The sequence below is a fragment of the Homo sapiens genome, chromosome 11 (assembly GCF_000001405.40).
Source record: "Homo sapiens chromosome 11, GRCh38.p14 Primary Assembly".
Classification (NCBI taxonomy): domain Eukaryota; kingdom Metazoa; phylum Chordata; class Mammalia; order Primates; family Hominidae; genus Homo; species Homo sapiens.
Window position 1 is genome coordinate 46796140 of NC_000011.10, and position 27739 is coordinate 46823878.

The 27739-nt window shown below is 38.3% G+C and overlaps 1 protein-coding gene across 2 annotated transcripts in view; it reads right to left on the minus strand.

Annotated features, from left to right (window-relative positions):
• CKAP5 (cytoskeleton associated protein 5) overlaps positions 1-27739 on the minus strand; it is a 103233-nt gene that overhangs the window by 53092 nt on the left and 22402 nt on the right. For both annotated transcript variants that reach the window (NM_014756.4, NM_001008938.4), the window contains exons 2-12: positions 25036-25129; positions 22171-22364; positions 20059-20265; positions 14868-15039; positions 13603-13735; positions 13261-13361; positions 11892-12005; positions 5061-5165; positions 1944-2033; positions 1666-1830; positions 673-801 (exon numbers count right to left, since the gene is read on the minus strand). In NM_014756.4, coding sequence (NP_055571.2) covers positions 673-801; positions 1666-1830; positions 1944-2033; positions 5061-5165; positions 11892-12005; positions 13261-13361; positions 13603-13735; positions 14868-15039; positions 20059-20265; positions 22171-22364; positions 25036-25092 — 1467 coding nt within the window. In that variant the 5' untranslated portion in view covers positions 25093-25129. The remainder of the gene's footprint in view (positions 1-672; positions 802-1665; positions 1831-1943; positions 2034-5060; positions 5166-11891; positions 12006-13260; positions 13362-13602; positions 13736-14867; positions 15040-20058; positions 20266-22170; positions 22365-25035; positions 25130-27739) is intronic.

The following is a 27739-nucleotide window of genomic DNA, read 5'->3' on the forward strand; positions in this document are numbered from 1 at the left end:
GGGTGACAGAGTGAGATTCATTGCCAAAAAAAAAAAAAAAAAAAAAAAATTTTCAGAGAAAAAATTTCCCTTTCAACAAAAAAGATAAATTATCTACACTTTTTTGGCAGTAGATAGACATACGTAAGATATTAATCTTACATTTTATTTCTTTACAAATTAGAATTGTAATAAACTTAAAATGACCACATTGTTTATGGAAGACATTCACATATAAGAAGGTAATTTTCTGGACCTTAGAAATAAATTTATCTCACAGAACTGTTTTCACCTTCTCTACAGATTGGTCACTCAGCTTTTTTTCGGTTATAATTTGAAAGCTATTTCTACAATTATCACCATCATAGCCTGGAATGAAACTTAAATTCTCAAAAGCTAAGTTTTCAAACTCGGTCTGAACTATCAGTGGAGGATGAAATAAATTTCCTGAGGTGATATCAGCATTTTTTTCTTAATAAAACAACAGACAAAATTGAAGACAAAAAGTACCAGAGAGCATCCTCCAAAACTTGTTTCAATTATGCATTTCTTTCCTACTATAAATGGCAATTTAAAAAAAATCAAGAACTCCTCATCAAAACTACCAGTACTCTATAACTGTCAAGAGACAAAGCCATGATGCAAAGAGACAGGAATGTTGTCCAATTTCAGTCCAATCCATTACTAACCTACCTTATCAAGCTTGAGTTTGTCCACATCAGCTAGGAATGGGTTTACTGCTTTCTCGCCAACCACCTTCAAAGCAGTACCCAATGCTTCAAATGCGGCATCTCTGACTTCAGGAGCAGAATCATTGATGTGCTATAGTCCAGAAGTAAGCAAAATGATATTAATGCAAGGTATTTTAGGCATTACTCATTTTAATTCAGACTGATGGTTGCTAGATAAAGAATTTGCTTTTTACAATTTACTGGAACTAAGTATAGCTTTCCTTGTGCCAATTGACAGTTACTCTTTCAAAAATTCTTTTTGGGCCAGGCACAGTGGTTCATGCCTGTAATCCCAGCACTTTGGGAGGCCAAGTTCGAGACCAGTCTGGCAAACATGGTGAAACCCCATCTCTACTAAAATACAAAAACTAGCCGGGCGTGGTGGCACATGCCTATAATCCCAGCTACTCAGGAGGCTGAGGCAGGAGAATTGCTTGAGCCTAGGAGGCAGAGGCTGCAGTGAGCCAAGATTGTGTCACTGCACTCCAGCCTGGGCAACAGAGCTAAACTCCATCTCAAACAAAACAAAAACAACAACAACAAAAAAAAAAAAACAAAAATTTTTCGGGTTAAGGAAACCCTTGGTAATCCATTTAGCAAATAAGTATTTCCTTTTCCTCTTACCCTCTATCTAAAATAACTCACTCCCAAATGATCTTCAAATACTCCACATTTGATGCCTATGCTTGGCCAGATTCAGCTGAACACCAGTATATGGGACAAGTAAGAAACAACATGTTTAACAGTTAATGGAATCATAACACTAACTTGTGCTTTCTTTCAAGAAGAGGAACACAGGAGAATTTGGATTCAGTTTCCAAGCTGCAAAGGCTCTGCTCCTCAAAAGATCATAACCTCTATAGTCTGAAAGTCAAGTAGTCACTGTACATAATTTGCAGGAAAAGAATCTTGCCTAGGTATAAAATATTCCCCCAACTTCAAAGAGAGTCTGTACCTTAAGTAGTGCAGCACAAAAGGGCTTTAGCAAGCTCTTTGGCAGGGTAGAAGCAGTGCAGTGGCGGAAACTTCTTGCAATAAAAAGAGATGTCTGCTGCTTGATGGTTGGATTTTTATTATCCATTACTGCTAAAACATCCTCACTGATGTTCTGTAGTGTGGTCTTTAGAAAGAAAATGTGGTTAATGAGCTTTTTTCAATTGTAAAGAACAATCAAAATATTATATTTACAAACTTTACTTCAGATAAAACTACAAACTCATGCTGTCAACTTACAGTAAGGAAGATTGCATCAATTGCCTCCTGCAGGGCTTGTACCACTTGAGGTTTCTTCTCTTTGAATTTCTCCAAGATGGTTGGCACAACCTGTAAAAGTGAATGGCTAGCACATTATTCAGCAACAAAGAGGAATGATATATTGATATATCCTAGAACATGGCTGAACCTTAAAAATAGTATGCTAAGTTAAAAAAAAAGCCAGTCACAGGCTGGGCACAGTGACTCATGCCTGTAATCCCAGCACTTTGGGAGGCTGAGGCAGGTGGGTTGCTTGAGGCAAGGAGTTCAAGACCAGCCTGGGCAACAGAGTGAGATCTTGTCTCTACTAAAACAAACAAAAAAAAATTAGCCAGGTGTGGTGGTATGTGCCTATGATCCCAGCTACTTGGGAGGCTGAGGTGGGAGGATTACTTGAACCCAGGAGGTCAAAGCTGCAGTGAGCTACGACTGCATCACTGTATTGTAGCCTGGGCAACACAGCAAGACCCTGTCTTCCAAAAAAAAAAAAAAAGCAGTCACAAAGACCATGTATTGTATGACTCCATTTACATGAAATGTTAAATCCAGAGACAAAAAAGTAGATTAGTGGTTGCTAGAGTCAAGGGCAGGGAGCAGCATGGGGAGAGACTGTTAATGGGCAAGGGGTTTCTTTTTGGGGTGATGAAGATGTTCTGGAATTAGATAGTGCTGATGGTTATGTAACATTGTGAATATTCTAAAATCACTTTAAGAGGGTAAATTTTATAGTATGCAAGTTTTATCTCAATAAAACTTACTTTCTAAAAAACCACCTTGTCTCCACCAAAACAAACCAATAAAGCAAACATTTAAGTGGAATAAAAAGTCATTTCCTTTCATGAAGGACATCGTATCTTATGCCGGAACAATGAAGAATTCTCATTCTCTCCCACTATGGCAGTGCTTCTCAACCTATTTGCCGCCTCTGCTCTGTCACCCACGTGGGAGTGCAGTGGGATGAACATGGCTCACTGAAGCCTCGGCCTCCTGGGCTCAAGTAATCCTCTCATCTCAGCCTCCCGAGTAGGTAGGCCTCAGGTATATGTCACCACACCTGCTATTTTTTTTTTTAATTCTTAATTTCTTGACCATTTCCCTGTAAATATAATTTTTTATTTTATTTTTTGTCGAGACGGGGGTTTCTCCATGTTGCCCAGGCTGGGGAAGAAAATTTCTAAGGTCCAAAGGACACAGCAAAGCTCAATGGCATCCAAAAACAAGAAATAATTGTTTTCAAGATTTCACAGAAGTGGTTATAGACTACTTGGTATAGTTCAAGGACTATGGTTCCCATGGAAAAATACAAGACTTTTTAATACTAGTTATAAACTTGAAAATCAAGATATTTTAATGTCTATAAAGCTAACATTCACTTTTATAAATATTGCCAAAAAGTTTGTAAACATTTAAAGAAAATAAAGCCAAGTCAGTAACATGCTTGATACTAAACACCGCATATATTACAGTATTAAGGTGGGGGAGACCCCAAACTACAGAGCAATAGAGACATTCTTTAACCAGGACAACAAACTGAAACAAAGCCAGAATCAGAACTCAAACTGGAAAGCCAGTTAATTATCCAACCATAATTTGGTAAATTAAAATGAATTTTAGGCCGGGTGTGGTGGCTCAAGCCTGTAATCCCAGCACTTTGGGAGGCTGAGGCAGGCAGATAGCTTGAGCTCAGGATTTCGAGACCAGCCTGGGCAAGGTGGCAAAACCCCATCTCTACCAAAAATACAAAAAGTACTCAAGCATGGTGTGGGGTGTGCCTGAAGTCCCAGCTACTCAGGAGACTGAGGTGGGAGGATCACCTGCGCCTAGGAGGTTAAGGCTGCAGTGAACTGAGATGGTGCCACTGCACTCCAGCCTGGGTGACAAAGTGAGACCCTGTCTCAAAAAAAAAAAACTAAAATTATTCTCTGAACTGATATTTAAGTGGTGTAGGAAAAAATTGTTTTTTATCTTGAAAAATTATTCCCAATATAAAAGTGTAAAATATCCTAAGTAATATAAAATTGATCAAAATGGCATATACACATCGATATTATATAATATTGATTGCTATAAAAATAGATTTTAATTTTATTTCAATTTATGATGTATATGTCTAAGGGTTTTACAGACCCTTATTTTTATTTCCCTAGTAATAAGCCAGTCATGATTTATTTTTATTTGGTAGTGTCTTCTTTTTCTTCAGTTAAGTTCTCTGAGATTATTTTTAATGCTATGAGTAAGCAAGCTCCAAATACCATAGCTCATGTGAGGCTAGGTATTAGCTTCACAATATAAAATGGACACATGACTAGGGACTATTAGGAAACTCCTAAGTCAGTCTAGGGAATCAAATGATGAAGGGGCTAGCAAGCTAAACTCTAAAGATCAATAAGGTCAATTTTTAGGATGCTGAGCCATTCTTAGTAATGCAGACCGGATTTAGAGGCCAAAGGACAGATGCCACAGTTAAAGAAAACATCTTAATTAAAATTATTACCAAATTTGATTGGAAACAAACTTATACAAATAGTAAGTCAACAAATGTCTCCAGTCAGATTTTCTTTGAATAAGTAAAACGGAGATAACCTATATAAAATATATAACATTGTAACCTATATAAAATGTCTCAAATATGTAAGTAAATTATATATTAAAATAGGAAAACAATGTAAAACACATTTTATATATTAACCTCACAGTTTTACATTTATAGTTTTACATTGCCTTTCCGACTCTCATTTTCATTCTGGTCCTGGTCGTTACAAGTTTTGTTTCATCTTGTTATGATGTGTATAATGTTGTAAGAACAAAGCAAGATACTAGTAAGTAAATAAGTAATAAGCAAATAAATAAACTCAACTAAGTACTTTAGGCCTAGTGCCTGACTTTCTACATAAGGCCTATAAATTTTGTTACAACTGACATCTACTGAAATTTCTAAGATATATCTATGCTGAATATTAACAAAACAGAGAGAAATTTACTTTGTACAGTATATACACATCTATGCCAAGGAGTTGTTTTAAAGCAAACAGCAAACTAGGCCTACCATTTTTGATAAATTTTGTTGATCTGTATCTAAAAAGGAGTGTTACTTACATGTCCTGCATATTGTCCAAATTTCTTCCTTAGCCCAACAGCCAGGCCAGTAAGACATTTTGCTGCCAAAGCCACCAACATGACATTGGTGTCCTTTCCAACAACCTACAAAGGGGGGTAAAAAGGAAAACAAAATAGTCACAGCCATGTAGAAGGGTATTGAAATTTTATTCTCAAAAGAACTCTGAGGCCGGGTGCAGCGGCTCACACCTGTAATCCCAGCACTTTGGGAGGCCAAGGTGGGTGGACCACCTGAGGTCAGGAGTTTGAGATCAGCCTGACCAACATGGTGAGACCCTGTCTCTACTAAAAATACAAAAATTAAGCAGGCATGGTGGCAGGCACCTGTAATCCCAGCTATTTGGAAGGCTGAGGCAGGAGAATCACTTGAACCTGGGAGGCGGAGGCTGCAGTGAGCCGAGATTGCACCATTGCACTCCAGCCTGGGCAACGCAGCAAGACTCCATCTCAAAAAAAAAAAAGAACTCTGAAAGCTCTTATGCTAATATATGACCAATTTTATTTACTACAACAGAGGAGAAATTCTTCTTTCATTGTATCGAATTTGGGAGCTTCCCTTCATTATGTTTAGTCTTCTATCTTAAAGTTCTACTAATAAAACATAGATAAAACCACAACATCAAATTGCTCACTATCCAGTAGTGGCAGTCTGGGCTGTCAGCACTGTTCAACTGTGCAGGAAATGACCCTGATAATGGCAGAGAGACGAGAGGTCTGCTGACTTTGCTTTGGGACAAGGAAAATGAAAAGGCAATGTATCTCTGAAAGACATCACAGGGCAACAGCTCTAATATTCATAACCAAGAAGCACCAGTACAAACGGCTGCAGGTACCTTCAGGAAGTCCATGGGGACTCTAAATTGTGAATGCTACTGCATTCTTCTGAGAACCATTCTTCTGAGGGAGCTTCTGGCCTTGAGGCTGCCACTTCAGTCATCTAATAATGGTTAAGCTTCAATTCAGAGTCTCAGTCGATTCTCCTCTAGCACTGCTTATATTACTGCCCTCCTATGCCACAACCCACAAAGCCCAGCACTTATCTAAACTCACGGGTAGTAGCTGCATCTGTGTCAATTTAACAAGATACTGACTACGACTGGGTTCCTTCCTGGTAAGATTTTACTGTGGTACACTGCCCAATCAGTTGGTGTTAAAAAGCTGCTTTATTATATAATAATACAGGCAGTGTGACGTGTGCCTGTAGTCCCAGCTACTTGGGAGGCTGAGGCAAAAGGATCACTTGAATCTGGGAGGCAGAGGTTGCAGTGAGTGCAGATCGCACCACTGCACTCCAGCCTGGGTACCAGAGCAAGACAGACAGACAGACAGACAGACAGACACACACACACACACACACACACACACACGGCTGCTTTATTTATAAATGCACACACACACACGGCTGCTTTATTTTTAAATGCCCCCAACTCTTCTTTTTTCACTCTTTTCCCAGTAAGAGTAATGCCTCCAGTCTACTTTGAATTTTATCTAGTCCCTACAATGTGGTGTTCCATAAGCAGAATGCTTTATTCTAGATTCTCTGCATTAAACAACTCCTAACATGCAACATGAAAGAAGTTCTACTTGGCACTTATATGCACTCCTTAAGTGCTGAGGAATAAGGATAAAGAAACTAACATTTATTGAAAAAACAAATTAGGCACCAAAATTTTGTAGGCACTTTATAATCCTTTTTAAGTTTAATTTTCACCCAAACCCTATGAGGTAAGGACTATTATTATTTCAACTTTGCAGATTCACAGCCAGGCATGGTGGTTCACGCTTGTAACCTCAGGACCTTAAGAGGTTGAGGTGGGAGGATCGCTTGAGCCCAGGAGTTCAAGACCAACCTGGGCAACATAGCGAAACCCTGTCTCTACCAAAAATAGAAAAATTAGCCAGGCATGGTGGCATGCGCCTGTAGTCCCAGGTACTCAGGAGGCTGAGGTAGGAGAATCTCTTGAACCTGGGAGGCGGAGGTTGCAGTGAGCCAAGATCATACCACTGCACTCCAGCTTGGGTGACAGAGCGAGACACTATCTCAGAAACAAAAAAACAACAAAAAAGTGCAGACTTCAAAAAGATTTTTTTTTTGAGACAGAGTCTGGCTTGATCTCAGCTCACCGCAACCTCCCCCTCCCAGGTTCAAGCGATCTTCCCACCTCAGCCTCCCGACTGGCTGGGACTAAAGGCACATGCTACCACACCTGCTAATGTTTCTATTTTTTGTAGAAACAGAGTTTCTTCATGTTGCCCAGTCTGGTCTTAAACTACTGGGCTCAAGCAATCAGCCCGCCTCGGCCTCCCAAAGTGTTGGGATTACAGATGTGACCTACTGTACCCAGCCAGATTCTAAAAATTAAATAAAGATTAATGTGCTTACAGTCAGGTAGTTAGCAAATGGTAATGCTGTGTGATTCAAACCCAGGTCAATTCTGACTCCAAAGTTTTTGCTCCTTTTATTAAGTAAAGCATGTTCTCCCTCTCAACTTGTGTTAAGTTCACTTTTCCTTACGAGAGGATGAGATCAGGGTCCTAATAAACATTTTGTTAAATCTCTAATTACTGTAAGTCTATGAAGAAAAAAATTTTCCATTCATTTCTGTATTGAAATCACTATTGGTATTTATAAATGTTCTGATTATTTTTCCTTATCAAAATACCTCTCAGATATGATTTAGATGCTAGGCTTTATATTTAGCATCTAAATATATATTCTAGGAATGGACATCAAAAACATGTAAGATCCCATTCCAACAAATTCTAGTTCAATGAATCTGGGATGAAATTTGGACATCAGTATTTTTAAATGGCTCAAAGGGTGATTTTGTCATATGGGCTCAGTTAAAAAACTATCATTCTATTCCTTTCTTAGGAGAATACCTCTCCCTATCCATTGTTGGAACAGTAACCAGTGGGAGCTAGACTCTAGACACTCATGATCTTATTGTATAGTATTGAAGAAGATACTGCGAATCTGTTAAATTTCAAGATTGCAAAGGCTCAAATAAACTTATAAGTGAGCAATGGACCAGATACCCTAATATAATACCTGCCTGTCACACTCATTGACACTCATTGTTTATTCCCATAAACAAGTTATTCTCAACAGGGAAATGAGAGTAGGGAAGATGGAGAAGTGTTTATTTTTAAGAAAAGTAACATATGAGGGGGGACTCCATTTCAGAGGTAAGAAAAACAATGACTTCTGTCTTTTCAGTAATTTCTGTTCTAGACCAGGGAATGGAAGCTTTAGCTCATAATCTCAATATAATTTAAACAATAGGAAATCTTGTACAGTTTTAAGTGCTGTCACTTTTCTCATAAATTGAGGCCTACAGTATTAAAACAAAGTGCTTTAAAGTAATTATCAATTGGTATTTATCTTTAACTAGAAATTAAAGCCACTAGTTAATAATAACTAAAGCACACCGTTGACAGAGGAAAGGAAACAAATTAATGAAACCCATTATGAATTACTGTGTTTAGAAAACTATGATGAAAACAAGCAATAATTAAGGGGGGAAAAGTAGAAAGAACAAGTGAAAAAAGATTAATACCACATAGAAGTCTAAAGATTATATAAGAAAGCACTTCGAAAATCCAAATCTTAATGTAAAGATAAATAAATTATATATATATAAAAAATCAAATGTCCATAGGCATAGGCACATGACAAAATCAAAGAAGCGATGAGCTGGGAGGGAGGCATCTTATAAATAAAAGAACTATAGGCCAGGCGCAGTGGCTCACGCCTGTAATCCCAGCACTTTCAGAGGCTGAGGCAGGCAAATCACTTGAGGACAGGAGTTCAAGACCAACATGATGAAACCCTGTCTCTACTAAAAATTAAAAAAAAAAAAAATTAGCCGGGCATGGTGGCACGCGCCTGTAATCCCAGCTACTCAGGCGGCTGAGGCAGGAGAATCGCTTGAACTCGGGAGATGGAGGTTGCAGTGAGCTGAGATCGTGCCACTGCACTCCAGCCTGGGTGACAAAGCGCAACTCTGTCTCAAAAATAAATACATCAATTAAAAATAATAGAAAAAAAAGAACTATAATCTGTGAGAACAGGAAAGCCCACAGAATATGCTAAATCAGGTGACAACTCAAAACAGTTTAAAAATAATTTCAGGAATATCATAAGAAATTTTAAAGTTAATGCCTTTTTACTACTTTCATTAAAGGAAAAAAATTGAGAAATTAATGGGATTACTTGATTTATACAATACAAAGAAGAGATAATTATAAGGAGGGAAAAAGGATTGGTCTGTAATCTATTCTTCAATCTCATCCTCTTTTTTCCATTTCACCATTTCCCCACTTTTTTCCATTTCACCATTTCCCCACTTTTGTTATGTTTCTAGGAAGTCAACATAATACAAAGTTTGTGTGTACATATAACTAAAATCAAATACAAAAAATAAAATGTCAGCTGGGCACCGTGGCTCATGCCTGTAATCCCAGCACTTTGGGAGGCCAAGGAGGGTAGATCACCTGAGGTCAGGAGTTCGAGACTAGCCTGGCCAACATGGTGAAACCCCGTCTCTACTAAAAACACAAAAATTAGCTGGGTGTGATGGCAAGTGCCTATAAATCCCAGCTATTTGGGAGGCTGAGGCAGAAGAATCACTTGAACACGGGAGGCAGAGGTTGCAGTGAGCCGAGATCGTGCCACTGCACTCCAGCCTGGGCAACAATAACGAAACTCCATCTCAAAAAAGAAAATAAAAAAAATAAAATGTCTCTGTCACTACTTAAGGCAAAAAGAAAAGAAAATGTCGTTTCAGGTTAATTTTTACAACTGAAGTTAACTTTTCATTGTTTTAAATATTTTAGCCACAAAATTCAGTTTCTTTTTACTTGTTTGTGGTCTCTGATTCCCTCCACCCCACCACGTGAAAAGGGAAAGAAGTTTCTACTGCTACCCTAGATCTCTCAGAAATCTATTGTCTGTCTACTCAAATATAAAATCCATGATGCTCTCTCTTTATATAGTACAGCAAGAGATTATATTTACATTCACAATGCCAATGGAAACCACAGAACTGTCTTTGTGTGAGAAGCTAATATCCTTAGAAAATACATGTAGAAAACACATAATATTAATGATAAGGAAAAAGAAAAGGTTTTCTTTGACACATCGAGAATTCAGCACCAGAGCAATAAGATTTCTAATTAATAACCAAATGCTGGAAGAATTGACAGAGAATCTGTAGCTCTCTTCATATGCCACTGGAACCTGACTTTCCTTGTCTCAGTGCCCTCTACTATTCCCCTTCCCATTCTTTCCTCCCAGGTTCCAGGTTGGTAAAACTCTTTTTCCCCTAGGGCAACTCTCTTTTAATTTATTTTACACGAGTGTAACTCTTCAAGATGGAAAATTGATGACTGAACAAAGATTTCACAAATCATATCTCTGCCTCCAAGTCCCACTGAAGGAAAGCCTAGGAAGGTTAACTACTAGAATATAGTTGATCCTCATCATTCACGAATCCATATTTGCAAATTCACCTACTTGCTAAAACTTGCTTATAATCCCCAAATCAACACTCATGGTACTTTCCTGGTCATTTACAGACAAGTTCAGAGCTGTGAACATTTTGTGTTGTCTATTGTGCACATTCCCAGCTGAGGTAGACAAGATAACACTCTACCTTCTTGCTTTAGCTTTTACACTATAAACAAGTGTCTTTTTCATGGTTTATTCAGTGCCATGTTTTTGCATTTTTGTGTTTTTTGTTGGTGCTCTTGTTGTTTAAAATGGCCCCTAAGTGTAGTGCTGAAATGCTGTCTAGTATTCCTAAGTGCAAACAGGCTGTGATGTACCTTAGGGAGAAAATATATGCGTTAGGAAAAGCTTCAATCAGGCAAGAGTTACAGTGTTGTCGGCCAAGAGTTCAATGTTAATGAATCAACAACATATATTAAATATGCTATCTCCAAACAGAATAAAACAAAGTTATGTACTGATTGATGGAAATGTTGTGACCAAAGGGTTGCAGGATCCTAACCCTGTATTTCTCTTAGAAGCAATGATTCAATATTCACTAATTTAGTGTTCGCAGTGGCTTTACAGAATATAACTACTACAAGTAATGACTTAGGTGTGCGTATAATTAAAAATCAACTTCCTCCCCTCACCATTGTAATCCTCTGTAATTTCAGACTGAGGAAGCAAACAAAACAAAATTTTCATTCTTGCTATATTCATGAAGATGTTTTCAGAGTTTGTTCTTAAGCACTATAATCATATCCACAGTGTTTGATCTATACTTACAGTTTTCATAAAAAGTTACTACATACAAAATGTCCACCAGCAGCATTCAACTTGCAATACCAAAAGATTATTTCCTAAAAATGTTTATCTCTTACTTAGTACTTGTCTGTTTCAGAACTGACCTCATATTCGTATACTCTTTACATACTGATACAAAGTAGTGTGTTATCATTTGCTATCTTCATGTTTAATATTTGTCCAATTAAATACAGCTAACTTAAATAGCTCATCCTATAGAATTATAAAACTGGAAAATGTAGTTCTAGATCAGCAACTCTCTTTTCCTAGAGAGTTACAGAAGCTATCAAATAGCATACCTAAAGTCAAAGTGACAAAAAACAAAGATTGAAAATGAAACTAACCCACAACAGGAATTTAAAACAACCCTTTAAAAATGTATGTCTGTAATTCAAATACCATCAGTAATGTTCCTTAAGTGGCAATGTATGTGTAATTAAAAAGATGACTGATGAGAAATTCAAAGGCCTGATGGCTGTTACAATACCAGTACTGCAAGTCCTCATATTTACCTTCTTTAATGCTTTTACTAAATCTGCATAATCGCCAGCTTCCAGTTTGGGGTTTTTTATTAGTACTTCTACAGACTCCAGGGCCTCTTTTCTCTCTTGCCATTTTTTTGCCTCCTGCAAGATACAATATGAGTCATTTGTAACAGGAAATAAGAGAGCGGAATAAAAGTCTATTTATTGCACTCTGCTAATTCAAAGATACATAATTTTTTTAAAAAATTATAAAACTGGCCGGGCGCAGTGGCTCACGCCTGTAATCCCAGCACTTTGGGAGGCCGAGGAGGGCAGATCATGAGGTCAGGAGATCGAGACCATCCTGACTAACAAGGTGAAACCCTGTCTCTACTAAAAATACAAAAAATTAGCCGGGCGTGGTGGCAGGCACCTGCAGTCCCAGCTACTCGGGAGGCTGAGGCAGGAGAATGGCATGAACCCGGGAGGCGGAGCTTGCAGTGAGCCAAGATCGCGCCACTGCACTCTAGCCTGGGCGACAGAGCGAGACTCCGTCTCAAAAAAATAGTAATAATAATAAAAAATAAAACTGTGGAGGCAATCAGAACATTTTGTTCATATATATAAATTTTTGTTCATATATAAAAAGTATTTTCATAAGATGTTATAACTAAAGTAATATAATAAACAAACAATGCCATAGACGTTTCATTCTCATTTTCTAGGCAAACGTTAGTAAGCAGATGTCAAACAGAAAACATTAATAGAAAGCATTTCTAGCCCACCCATCTCACAGCAGCACAATTACAGGAGAGGAATTTCTACACTGACAACATTAAAAAGACCAGAAAAGAACAATCACATAACCAACAACCCACTACTACAGTGGTGGTTGGGATAAGACTGTGTTTCTCAACTGGGGATGATTTTGTCTCCTAGGGAACTTCCGGCAATGTTTCAAGACATTTTTGATTGTCATGACTTAGGGAGATGGTATTACTGACATCTAGTGGATAAAAGCCAAAGATGCTGCTAAACATCATACAATGCACAGGACAGCTGACAAAAAATGTCAACAGTGCTAAGGTCAAGAAACCTTGGGGTAAAGTAGTGGCAGTAGAAACGGAGAAAGGGGAGGAATCCGGAGCTCTTTAGTGTTAAAAACCAGAGAGAAAATTAGAAAAAGGAAGTCAAGAATGTTCTGGTTTTATGGCAAGACATGTTTTAAAAAAGTGCTATAATATATATATGTACAAAGTAGTGTGGGAGCAAAGAGGAAGAAGCAACTAACTCACTCTACTAGGGAAGATATGGGATGGAAGGGGGTGCATCAGGCAAGGGCTCAGCAGAGTATTCTAATTCTATTCAAGTAATTATTTTACAAGAAATAAATGAAAGAAGTTTAACTATTACTTACAATTTTGTCATAAAAGTCTTTGGGAAGTTTGGAAAGGATTTCTACAGCTTCTAAAAGCTCATAAGCATCTATTTGTGGCACCTCATCACCATCATCACCACCTTTAAGGAGAAAAACAACACAAACCTTAAAAATGCTTAGAATTGTTTTACTTATCAGTTATCAGTCCTTTCACAACCCTGATGAAATTTTAATAGAGAAGGGACCAGAGTTATTAAAGCTACATGCAACTTATATTTTATTAAAGGCAATCCTACAAAATATGCCTAATGAACACAGATTCTCATGGCAGTGCCAGTTCTTGCTAATTTTTGCAGAAACCGGTGTTTAAAATTGGCTTACCTCCTTCAGCATCTCCACCAGCAGACTGTTGTTGTTCCAATTTAGCTTCTAGTTCTTGTTGGGAACGAAGAAATCGAGTAGGTCTAGGAGCACTTGTTGGCAGTTTGACCCATTCTTCTTCTAGTTCTTTCAACTGCAAATGTCATATAATATTTAAATAATATCTGCATCTCCACCATTAGTTAACATACTTAATACTTACATTTATTGACATATCAGGACCCAATTTCTTTCTTTTTTTTTTATTGGAGACAGAGTCTTACTCTGTCACCCAGGCTGAAGTGCAGTGGTATGATCTTGGCTCACTGCAACCTCCACCTCTTGGGTTCAAGCAATTCCCGTGCCTCAGCCTCTCGAGTGGCTAGGATTACAGGTGTGCACTACCACATCCGGCTAATTTTTGTATTTTTAATAGAGATGAGGTTTCACTATGTTGGCCAGGCTGGTCTTGAACTTCTGACCTCAGGTGATCCTCCTGCTTCAGCCTCCCAAAATGCTGGGATGACAGGTATAAGCCACCGTGCCTGGCCTCTAATTTCTTATTTATGTGGCTCTACCAGGGCAAACAAGAAAGATTCATTCATTCATTCATTGAGAGACAGGGTCTCAACTCTTTTGCCCAGGCTGGACAATTTTGGCTCACTGCAGCCTCCACCTCCCCAGGTTCAGGTGATCCTCCCACCTAAGCTTCACGAGTAGCTAGGACTACAGGCTGTGCTACCATGCTTGGCTAATTTTTTTTTTATTATTTGTAGAGATAGGGTTTGCCATGTTGCCCAGACTGGTCTCGAACTCCTAGGCTCAAGTGATCTGTCTCCCTGGGCCTGCCAAAGTGCTGGGATTATAAGTGTGAACCACTGCACCAGCGGAAGAAAATATATAATTAAATTTTATTTCTTTTACAGCATAAGTCAAACCAACTTGAATTTACTATAAGGAAGACGTATGTCTAAGCACTAAGAAAGAACAGTAAGTCCCACTTTTTAAGACACTCTCATTAGTTCATTAATTCAGATACATTTACATCATCAGAAGAGTCTCCAAAACCAATTGTAATAAAAAGCCAGAAAGAATGTACTTCACACAGATAATAAGTTCTGCCACCCAAGAGAATTGCTGAGAAAGTTAGCTATGCTCAGAAAAGCTGATTTCAAAATTAAGAATGTAAAATAATTATTTTTAAGGACAGAATATCAACAACGATAGGAAGAAAATATTTTCATATTAACCTTGTGCGAAAGCAACCAGAAAACTTTTTGTCTCACCTGAACAGAGTTTATATTTTGTAATGGGGGTCTCAGAGCATCCCGAATCCATCTGTAAATCTCCACAGCAATTAGTTTGGCTTCATCTCGAACAGCCTTCTCTCGAGACTCAAAGAGTTTTGGCAACACTTTGATAATTGGCTTAAGCAAGATGATTTTGGAACCAAATTCACTACAAGTAAAAAATTGGGAAAAAACTGTCAACGTGCAATGCAATTAAATAAAGCATTAGCTTTTCTTCATTCAAACATAGTTCCATATCTACATATTAGAAGAATTATATAAGTTCAGTTTTTTTTAAGGCAACAAAAGAAAAGGAACTCATAACTGCTTACCTACTAAGGTGTTGTTCTTCTAAGAATATTATTTAATGTGTAGGGCCCAAAATAATATTACCATTTTTAAACAAACTTTCTAGGTAAGCAGACTAGGAATAATTAAAACCTATAAAGGATCAACATGTTTAATACCCTTTTTTTTTCTTTTTCAGATGGCATTTTGCTCTTGTTGCCCAGGCTAGAGTGGTATGGCATGATTGCAGCTCACTGCAACCTCTGCCTCCTGAGTTCAGGTGATTCTCCTGTCTCAGTCTCCCAAGTAGCTGGGGTTACAGGCATGCGCCACCACGCCCAGCAAATTTTTGTATTTTTAGTAGAGATGGGGTTTCACTATGTTGGCCAGGCTGGTCTGGAACTCCTGACTTCAGGTGATCCACCCGCCTCAGCCTCCTAAAGTGCTGGATTACAGGCGTGAGCCACCACACCCAGCCTAATACCACAAATATGTATGTATATACATATAAAAGCTTACAAATATAAACTAGTTTATAAATATTTACATGAATGAAATCTACTTTTAATAAACCTTTAATAGCTCCTATAATTAAAGTGATTCATTTACCTAGATAGATCACAAATCTTGGCAATATTTTGTTCCTGACTTTGTGGCTATCACACTATAACTCTGGGCATCTTAAATCTTTCTTTACTTCAGTTTTCTATGGGGAAAATGTTGCATTTTGACTTCTTTCAAAAAGCATATTTGGCCAGGCGCAGTGGCTCACACCTATAATCCCGGCACTTTGGGAGGCTGAGGCAGGTAGATCACCTGGGGTCAGAAGTTCAAGGCCAGCCTGGCCAACATGGTGAAACCCTGTCTCTACAAAAATACAAAAATTAGCCAGGCACGATAGTGGGCGCCTGTAATCCCAGCTACCTGGGAGACTGAGGTGGAAGAATCGCTTGAACCCGGGAGGCAGAGGTTGCAGTGAGCCGAGATCGCGCCACTGCACTCCATCCAGCCTGGGCAACAGAGCAAGGTTCCGTCTCAAAAAAAAAATAAAATTAAAAAAAAGTGTGTTTAACCTTACATATCTGTCATAGATTACATTTTCAAGTTCCCAACTGGCCAATTTTAGCTATCTAATATCACTATTAACATTTGTGAGTATCAGATTCTGGAGCAGGAGAGATTTATTTATGAAAGAACACTGAAATTCTGTATGAGTAGTAGGACCCAAATTATTATTTATCTATTATCTAATGTGCACAAATTTATCTCATGTGAGCAAATGCAACAAAATTACTCAGTAATAGCTACTAGTGTACTCCAACGATTTTTTTTTCTTGGTTTTTGTTTTTACTTTTTTGGAGACAGGGTCTCACTATGTCATCCAGGCTGGAATGCAGTGGTATGATCACAGCTCACTGCAGCCTCGACCTTCCCTGCTCAAGCTATTCTCCAGACTCAGTCCCCCAAGCAGCTGAGACTACAGAGGGGCACCACCATGCCCGGCTAATTTTTTTTTTGTATTTTTTGTAGAGACGGGGTTTCTCCTTGTTGCCCAGGCTGGTCTTGAACTCCTGGGCTCAGGCAATCTGCCTGCCTCAGCCTCCCAACCCAAAGTGCTGGGACAATACAGGCATGAGCCACTGCTCCTGGCCTTAATTATTATTATTATTTTTGAGATAGTGTCTCACTCTGTTAACCAGGCTGGAGTACAGTGACACAATCATAGCTCACAGCAGCCTCACCCCCTGGGCTCAAGTAATCTTCCTGCCTCCTGAGTTGGTGGGACTACAGGCACAATAAAAAAAGAATTTTTAATAAGATACCTGGCTATGTGATATAGTTTAAGTACAAATATCATGAGAATAACCTACATAATCTCTAAGATTTTTTAAAATGCTTTTATATTATTAAAAAAATTACATTTTAACTTGGCTCAGCTGACCTTTAAGATTAAACAAAAAATAAGAAATTATAGTGGCAATAAACCATTTTGTTTTAGGGATATTTAACATGGTGCCTGAAGAACCTAACATTTGAGATTTCTTAAATCTTCCTATATATTATTACTGTTTCATCTGAATCTTTTTTCTCTATCCTGGCCTCCTTCTGTAAGAAAAAAAAGATGGAGCAAGTCCACATGGAAAATAGACACCTTAATAAAATAAAACCTAATTTTGATACTAAACGTATTACTATAGAAAACACAAAAGGGTACTAGAAACCTGTTTTAGGTACCACAAATGTTTCTGGTCACCTGAAGCTCTCACTAACAAAGCTTTAGCAAGCTCTGGAACCCAGGATCAAGCAGTTTGGCCTCAAGGTTCTTGAGGGTCCCAGAGAGCTACCTAGTTAAACTATAGACTCTGAAATGCTTTAGGACAAATAAAGAACCACACAGGGATGGGACTACATAACAACATCTATGAAGAAAACATGAGATATACGTAACTTGTTATTTTCCTACCCTTATTCTCCCAGTTTAGCTAAAAAATGAAATAACCAGAGTACACAGCACTCCAGACTAGAAACTTGTAATTTAAAGGTAGAAGATTATAGGCCAGGTGCGGTTGCTTATGTCTGTAATCCCAGCACTTTGGGAGGCCGAGGTGGGATCACTTGATGCCAGGAGTTCCAGACCAGCCTGACCAACATGGAGAAACCCATCTCTATTAAAGAAAAAAAAAATTAGCTGGGTGTGGTGGTGCTCACCTGTAGTCCCAGCTACTCAGGAGGCTGGAGGCATGAGAATCGCTTGAACCCAGGGGCGGAGGTTGCAGTGAGCTGAGATCGTACCACTGCACTCCAGTCTGGGTGACAGAGCGAGACCTTGTCTCAAAAAAAAAAAAAAAAAAAAAAAAAGATTACAGTATTTTTTAAAATTTAGACATCACTAAGGACACAAAAGATTTATTGATATAAGCATAGTTCTGATAACTAAGATGAGTCACTAAATTTCTAAGATAATAGAATGAGCATACTGTTTACTACTCAGAAAAACATCTGCTTACTATATTGTAATAGGCTAGAAACAAGGAAACTTCATTCACGTAAGAATCTAAGCAAGTCAAATTTTATAAAAGTACATTATGAGCAAAGCAAAAAACAATATTAAAGACCTATAAATCAAAGATCATTCAACAAAATACAAGAGTTTTTATACTTTCACAGAAGATAAACACCAAAGGAAACATTTTTCTCCAAGATGTAGGTCATACACAAAATCATGAGAGGTGAGATGGATGATCTTCATTCCGTGAGGATTTTACTACAGCTGCTTTCTAAAATATCTGATATAGACAGTACTTGGGGACAGGATACCAGATTAGAAGAACTGCCAAGTCTGAACAAACTAGTGATCTGTCTAATTCAGATTTCCATAGCAAATTACATCCACTTGTTCCTGAAAGAGATCCTATTCATGAAAAATTTCATGGCCAAACAAGAAAGTCTAGGGTTGAAAAGAACTTACTACATAAGAGCAAAAGTTACTTTTCTATTTGCTTTCACTGTGCGTCTCTTTAAAGGCATATAGCATTTGCTTCTACTTTACTAAAAAGGCACCTAAATAAAGGTTAGCTTTAGTCCACAAACTTTATCTTTAGCCAACATCTCAAAGTATAGACTTCGAAAGTCTATACTTAAGATAGCAAGAGAAAAAGAGCTGCTTAAATACCCTGAGGAGTAGTTTTCCAACAAAAGGCCAGTACTTTTCTTTTCAGTGCTTTTCCACCAAAAGGCCAATTTTTAAAATGTATTTATTTATTTATTTTTGAGAGGGAGTCTTGCTTTGTCACCCAGGCTGTAGTGCAGTGGCATGATCTTGGGTCACTGCAACCTCTGCCTTCCAGGTTCAAGCAATTCTCCTGCCTCAGCCTTCCGAGTAGCTGGAATTACAGGCATGCGCCACCATGCCCAGCTAATTTTTTCGTATTTTTGGTAGAGACGTTTCACCACATTGGCCAGGCTGGTCTCAAACTCCTGACCTTGTGATCTGCCTGCCTTGGCCTCCCAAAGTGCTAGCATTACAGGAGTGAGCCACTGAGCCTGGCCATATTTATTTATTTTTTAAAGAGACAGGGTCTTGCTCTCTCACCCAGGCTGAATTGCAGTGGCACAATCACAGCTCAGTGCAGCCTAGAACTTCTAGACTCAAGAGATCCTCCCCACCTCAGCTTCTTTATAGTGGCAGGGGTCTTGCCATCTTGCCCAGGCTGGTCTTAAACTCCTGGCCCCAAGTGATCCTCCTAACTCAGCCTTCCAAAGTGCTGGGATTACAGGCATGAGCCACTGCCCCCAACTGAAAAGCCTAATTCTTAATCTGATAACAGGTCAGAAATCTCTATTCATCTTCATTAGAAAGGGATTCAGATAAAATAACTACACAACACACTTGAAGGCTAAAATTAGTCAACATGAAGTGCCACACTTGGGGAATGACTTTCCTTATTCAGGTCACTTTCTTGCTTGTTTTGGCATGCCAAGTCAAATTCTGCAGTTTCCATTTCTGTTTAAACCCGGAATCCAAACTCAATTGAGATACTCTAGTTCAGGGATCCCTAACCCCTGGGCTGTGGCCAGTACAGTGGCCTGTTAGGAACCAGGCACACAACAGGAGGTGAACAGCTACCAAGCGAGAATTACCCCCTGAGCTCTGCCTCCTGCCAGATCAGCAGGGCATTAAGGTTCTCATACGAGTGCAAACCCTACTGTGAACTGCACATGTGAGGGATCTAGAGTGCATGCTCCTTATGAGGTGGAACTGTTTCATCTCAAAACGACCCCCCCATCCCCCCAACACACAATTCTTCCATGGAAAAATTGTCTTCCATGAAACTGGTCCCTGGTGCCAAAAAGGTTGGGGACTGCTGCTCTAGTTAACAAAGCTAAAACAAAGTCTTACCTTAAGGCTTTCCTCAGTGTCTCTATACAGGCCACTATGATCTTGGGATTCTTATTGTCCAAGCCTTTCAGGAGCTCTTCTTGAACAGCCTCTCCTTTCTCAATCTCTATGTACATAAGACAGATCTCTATGCCCAGCTCCTTGGCTTTAGCTTTAGGTTGATTGAACACCTTACTTACAACACCTGACACAACTTCTCCTGTGGTTCTGTAACATATTATAAAGAACAAAAATCCCACTTAAGTAGTAAGAATTGGAAAAAGGTCACGGAAAGGGGGTGTACTAGTACTTTTACAAATGCTAGAAATACAGTAAATGAGTCTTTAATTTTTAAATTTATGTTCAAGAATATTTTAAAAACTTAACGTTAAACATAAAATTTTAAGACATGTCATAGCAGGCATAGTAACAGTTTATAAATGTAGAAAATTCAAACAAAAAATTAAAGATCCCTTGAAATCCCACCACCCAGAGAAAACTACTTTCAACTTTTTGATATCCCTCCTTCCAGACCTTTCTCTAAGTGTGTGTGTATATGGACATACAAATATACTTTACAAAAGTAGGGTTACAGAATGCTTGCTTTCAATTTTTTTTTTTTTTTTTTTTTTTTAAAGAGACAGGGTTGGTCGGGTATGGTGGCTCATGCCTGTAATCCCAGCACTTTGGGAGGCTGAGGCGGGTGGATCACCTGAGGTCAGGAGTTCAAGACCAGCCTGACCAAAATGGAGAAACCTCATCTCTACTAAAAATACAAAATTACTCAGGTGTGGTGGCGCATGCCTGTAATTCCAGCTACTCAGGAGGCTGAGGCAGGAGAATCACTTGAACCTGGGAGGTGGAGGTTGTGGTGAGCCAAGATCGCGCCATTGCACTCCAGCCAGGGCAACAAGTACGAAACTGTGTATCAAAAAGAAAAAAAAAAAAAAAGAGAGAGAGACAGGGTCTTGTGCTGTCACCCAGTTGGAGTGCAGTGGTGGGATTATAGCTCACTGTGACCTCAAACTCCTGGGCTCAAGCGATCTTCCTGCCTCAGCCTCCTGAGTAGCTAGGACTACAGGCACATGCCACTGCATCTGGGCAAAAAAATTTTTTAAGTCGTTTTAAACACTTTTTAGGAAAAGAGAATTTCTTCACAGAGGGAACGGATATGTACCTTTAATAATAAAAGACTACTCTTGACTCCTTAATAAGACTTTACAATAACTTTACTGCTTTGAATCTCCTCTAAATGAAATGAAACCTACACTACCGGGAATCAGAAGAACTGAGTGGGTTGAGATTACATGCAGCATTTATCAAAAAACCGCTTCTAGTATCAGAAGAGAAATTAAAAAGTGATAGTTTTACTAACGGTAAAGGAAACCCAGTGATGCCAGTTAACCAAATTGTCAAATTAATGATGATCTTTATTGGTATAATCTTTGAAGTAAGTCAAGTATATATTTCTTGTGCAATTAAGTCAAGTGTTTCAACTTTTTTTTTTGTATGGAGGGTTCCTTTCAATGACACAGAGACTAGAGTTAGGAAAATCAGGTCTATGAGGTATGGGATAGTAGGATGACTAGAAATCTGTCATTCACAGATCAAGTTAAACTGGCCAGGAGTCACTGAGGTTGTTTAGTAAGCATTACCTCCCCCAAGAAATAAAAATGCCTAATGAACAAAGGGAGAAAGACATGATTCTAACATCACCTATCTAACAACCCTTGTAAAAAATTTAGTTTTCTATAATGCCCAAATGTCTTCAGTGAAATTCTGATAATTCCTTTACTGACAATCTCTCAGTTTCTTTTTGAAGTTACTAAAGACTCTTCCTTTTAGTTTAGAATAATTCCCATACAAAAAGCTTAAAAGGAAAACCACTTGGTCATCAAACCTTAAGGTAAACCCTCAAAATATTATTTCTAATTTACTCCTCTACAGATCTCATGTGCCATTTAGATTTCTGAGAATAAAGACTGAATGAAAAACAAGTATCAAGAAACTACGAAAGTAAGAAAATTCATCTATTCTAAAACTGCTAATAACTAAGGACAGTGATCTACAAACATACATTATGTAACACCAAACAGGGGTTTTTATCAGTAAAGTTGGAAAGAAAGTACTTACTTTCCTGCTACATGGGCATTTTCAACATAAACAAGTGCAGCTTCTAATCCTTTCAATTGAACCACTGCATTGGAATCAGTGACAAATTTTTTGATCAATCCTAAAAATTTGGACCACTCTGGGCTCTTTTCATCCTTTATTTTCTGGAAGATCTTCAGGGCCTCTTCATACCCACTTAACCTTGCTTTCCACAGCTAAAAGAAAAGTAGTATTTTGAAACAAAACATAATTTAATGATATTATCATCTACTATTAATCTGGGGGGGGAGGGTGTGAGAATAGAAATGAATATCCTATGTCAGGTAATGTAAACAAAGGACCCCATGACTAGAAATGAAAAAAGAGTTTAAGAAATTGGCAGTTTTCAAAAAAGATTAGCTAATAAACTTCTTACAAGTGTTTAGTGTTTATGATACTCTGCCATTCATAATAGGCCATTATAAATGAATCTCACATTGTATCTAAGAATTATTACTTCTTTATAATATTGTATTAAAGATGTGATAACTCAAACATGAGAAATCACCCTGATGAAACTGCCCCGTCTCCAAAGTATATGCTGTTTTTTGGTTCTATTTTTGTATAATCATTAGGTAGCTTTATATTACACTGTATATTAATTTCAGCTAGTAGATTCCGGACATTTTTACTGAGGTATTCTTTTTTCATTAATTTATTCAACAGGTGTTTAATAAATAAAAATCAATTCAGCTCTGGCCCTTGTGGAGCTTACACTCCAGCAGGAGGGGACATTAAGCTATAATACAAATAAATTTAAAATTAACAAAGCATTAAGTACTACAAAGGAGAAGCAACTTGGTGCTATGAAAGTATATATTATAAAAGGCTTTGTCTTAGTGTTAAGAAAAAATTTCCTGAGAAATGGTAATTGAGCTGAGCCCTGAAAGATAAATAGGAACTAATCAGGAAAGAGTGGCAAAAGGGGAGACAGAACATTCCAGAAGGAACAGTATACTCCAAGGCCCTATGGCAGCAGGGAATATGGTATTTCCCACTCCTATAAAGAAAGAGAAGGGGAGTATGGTACAAAGTAAGCTGGAGAGGATTGGAAAAGGCCAGATCATGCAGGACTATGAAGGCCAAAGAAAAGATTCCACTCATTATTCTAAGAGCAATGGGAAAGCAATGAAATGATTTGGGGGCAGTTAAATGAGAAGTTAGTTTGTGGGATGATCGAATTTGCATTTACTGTGTTAAGCATTAGTAAAGAATTAGATGTTTGTCCTCAACACTATTAGATCAAAGAGACAGAAGGATCAACATATGATTGAAAAACAGAAATAATTTACATGTTATTTGTTTAATGTAAGTAAAAATGTAATTGAAAATGTAATTGAATTGATTCAATTAATGTAATTGAAAATGTGATTTGGGGCAGGTGCTATGCTCACAGAAAAAACTCTTCCTTCTAAGGAAGGAATGCTGCCTAACCCACTATAAGATGCATTCATTAGGAAGAAGGCATTACCTATTCTGCAAAATTAGAGTGAAGTATAACATAAATTAACATCATAGTTGAACATTTACTAACCAATTTAAACCAGATTTATTTTTTTATTTTTTAAAATTGGGCAACATCTCATTCTATAAAGTAGAATGAGTGTTCCCTAAACAGATTTAACATCTCTATGCTTTAAGTTTCAAAAACACACAATAAATGCTCAAAAAATGGGAAAAATAAAGTACCAAATCACACGAGATTGAAAAACTCTTAGCACATATTAACCAATCAAAAATCGGAAAGTCTAAGATTTATCTATATTGTCTGCCCCTTTCAGTGAGAATATACAATATCTACCAAAAAAAGCATTATAGTTAACGATTCTAAATAAGTTCCAAAATTCTCCCCCAATTTTTGTTGCAATTTAATGTACTACATAACCAACAATTTCTATGCGAATTAGAATAAAAACCAACTAGCTCACTTTTAATCTGGCCTTATTTGAAGAGCTACATGTTGATTTTTGATACAGTATTCGGCCTTGGCTAATTTATTATATAGGATGAAGGAGTGGTTCTGTGGAGGATATAGGGACCATGGCTCCAAATTTCTACTCTACATAGGTAGAACTGTATGTATACAACTGTGTAAGTTAGTATATTTTATTCAGTATTTTTAGTAATCAACAACCATAAATCTTGAATACTCAGATTCAAAACAAACTTTAAAAGAACTGTCAAGAACATAAAGTGGTAAACCTGAGGACTTGGAGTAGAATAAATTTACAAGAAGAAATGAAATTCTAAAATCTACCAGATGGTAGATGTTTGTTTAAAATGATTAAAAATGAAAGAAACTAGAGGTATAGTTGGGGAAAAAATAAGATAATCTGAAAGGATGCCCACCAAATAATGACATGATGTAATAAATTGTATCTTACTAGCATAAACTAGAAAATAAAGATTGGTAGATTCTGAGGGTAAATATTGGAATGCCGATCATATAAATCAGAGAACCTAAAAAATGCTGGATTTCTAAGGCCAAATTCAGAACACATCTCAAAAGAAGAGTCTCTATATAATAAAATATTAGTAAGTACTTAGGTACCAGAAGTATATTGTACTGTATATACAAGGAGATGAAAAAACTAGCCAGTTACTTTTCATAGATACCACTTACTTTTCACTTCACTAATATCTTTTCTTTGAATTCTTTCCAGAGACAAAAAAATTTTTAGTTGAGCTACAGAAACCTATTTTCAATGAGAAAAAATAACATATCTAACAAGGCATCAGTATTTTTGAAACTGCCAATGTTTTCACACACTTCTAAGTAAGATGATAGTATAACTGCTCACAAAACAAGCCAACGACACTGAAAATCGAATTCCAGAAGAATCTTACCTTGTGTTCACATTTCTGATCAACTGGCAGTTTCAACCACTCACTGTCATCTCCCATTGTGCTTCCAGGTTTTCCTTAGAATTAAGAGTATTTCCTGGTCAGATAAAGGTAGAAACCTGCTTAGCAACCAGGCAGTCTCTTAAGACAAAAATAACTTTTCTGAGATTATTATTTTATCATTCATGCAACAACAAGAGTAAAAATCCCGTTCTTTCGTCAGATCCCCACTTAATTCAATTAACAGGACTTTTTTTTTTTTTTTTTTTTTGAGACGGAGTCTCGCTCTGTCACCCAGGCTGGAGTGCAGTGGCCCGATCTCCGCTTACTGCAAGCTACACCTCCTGGGCTGACGCCATTCTCCTGCCTCAGCCTCCCGAGTAGCCGGGACTACAGGCACCCGCCACCACGCCCGGCTAATTTTTTTGTATTTTTAGTAGAGACAGGGCTTCACCATGTTAGCCAGGACAGTCTCGATCCTGACCTCGTGATCCACCCGCCTCGGCCTCCCAAAGTGCTGGGATTACAGGCGTGAGCCACCGCGCCCGGCCAATAGAATTTTTTTTTTAAAGTCACTCAAAAGACAGGACACAGTGGTGGCTCATGCCTGTAATCTCAGCACTTTGGGAGGCTGAGGTGGGCAGATCACCTGAGATCAGGAGTTCAAGACCAGTCTGGTCAACATGGTGAAATCCCGTCTCAATTGAAAATACAAAAATTAGCTGGGTGTGGTGGTGCAGGCCTGTAGTCCCATCTACTCGGAAGTCTGAGACAGGAGAATCGCTTGAACCTGGGAGGAGGAGGTTGCAGTGAGCCAAGATTGTCCCACTGCATTCCAGCCTGGGCGACAGAGTAAGACTCCATCTCAAAAAAATAAAGTCACTCAAAAAATATAAATATAAATATATTGCAGTCTGGGCAACATGGTGGAACCCCATCTATACTAAAAACACAAAAATTAGCCAGGCGTAGTGGTGTGTGTGCCTGTAGTCCCAGCTACTCGGGAAGCTGAGGTGGGAGGACTACTTGAGCCCAAGAGACAGAAGTTGCAGTGAGCTGTGATCATGCCACTACACTCCAGCATGGGCAACAGAGCAAGACCCTGTCTCAAAAAAACCAAAAATTTGTTTTCTAAAAAATGATGCTTTTATTTTCCCAAATAAGAACTTCTTAGATATAAAACGAAGCTGGAATAAAACTGAATTGCTGAGCTAAATGGCCTTTTAAAAGGCCAAGAAAAAAGTTTTGGAAAAAGTCATACTTTCACCTAGAATTACTTATAGAAAATAATCAATATGGGGGTCGGGTGTGGTGGCTGACGCCCGTAATCCCAGCAGTCTGGGAGGCCGAGCCGGGCGGATCACGAGGTCAGGATCGAGACCATCCTGGCTAACACGGTGAAATCCCATCTCTATTAAAAACACAAAAAATTAGCCGGGCTTGGTGGCTGGCGCCTGCAGTCCCAGCCACTCTAGAGGCTGAGATAGGAGAATGGCGTGAACCCGAGAGGCGGAGCTTGCAGTGAGCCGAGATCGCACTGCACTCCAGCCTGGGCAACAGACTCCGTCCCAAAAAAAAAAAAAAAAAAAAAAAGAAAGAAAAGGAAAGAATCAATATGTAAAAATGTTGATACTGCCAAGCTCCCTAATTCTAGCAAACATGACTAGTCAATGTTTATATAAACAAGTACAAAATTAAATCCCTGAATGAACCTTTATACATATTCTTTATGTAAACCATGTTTTTAAGTGAGGTTTAAAGTCAACATCCTTTTAATAACTTTATGCTACCTATCTTCTTTTTTTTGAGACAGCGTCTTGCTCTGTCGTCCAGGCTGGAGTGGAATGAACACGATCTTGGCTCGCTGCAACCTCTGCCTCCTGGGCTCAAGCGATCCTTCCACCTCTGCCTCCTGAGTAGCTAGGATTTGGTGGGACTGCAGGTGTGCACCACCATGCTCGGCTAATTTTGAAATTTTTTGTAGAGACAAGGTCTCGTTATATTGCCCAGACTGGTCTCGAACTCCTGGGCTCAAGTGATCCCACTGATCGTGAGCCACCGCACCCACCCCTATGCTATCTATCTAGACAACACCTTTTTCTTATAAAAGTAATGTGTGTAAACTGCAGAAAATTTAGTAACTACAGAAAAAAATCTAAGTATTAAAATACAATTTTACCACCACCTAATAACCATGATGAACACTAAAGTACGTATCCAGTTTTTTTTCAATACACATGTAGTAATATAAATCATATGAAAAAGACAGGCATAATCCCCTTACAACATTTTTGTTATATGATCACAAACATTTTCCCAGATTTGAGAATATGATGTTTAAAGTCTACATAGCACTCCATTTTACAAATGTACCATAATTACCAACCCTACCATTGGACATTTAAATTGTTTCCAATTTTTCTTTTTCATTTTTGAGACAGGGTCTCACTCTGTCACCCAGGCTGGAGTGCAGTGGTGTGATCACAGCTCATTGCAACCTTGATGTCCTGGGCTCAAGTGATCCTCCCAACCTCCGCCTCCCGGGTTCAAGTGATTCTTCTGCCTTAGCCTCCCAAGGAGCTGGGACTACAGGCACATGTCACCATGCCCAACTAATTTTTTAGTTTTTTGTAGAGATGGGGTCTTACTATGTTGCCCAGGCTGGCCGATTTTTCAATATTATTAATAACATAGAAGCGGTCCTCCG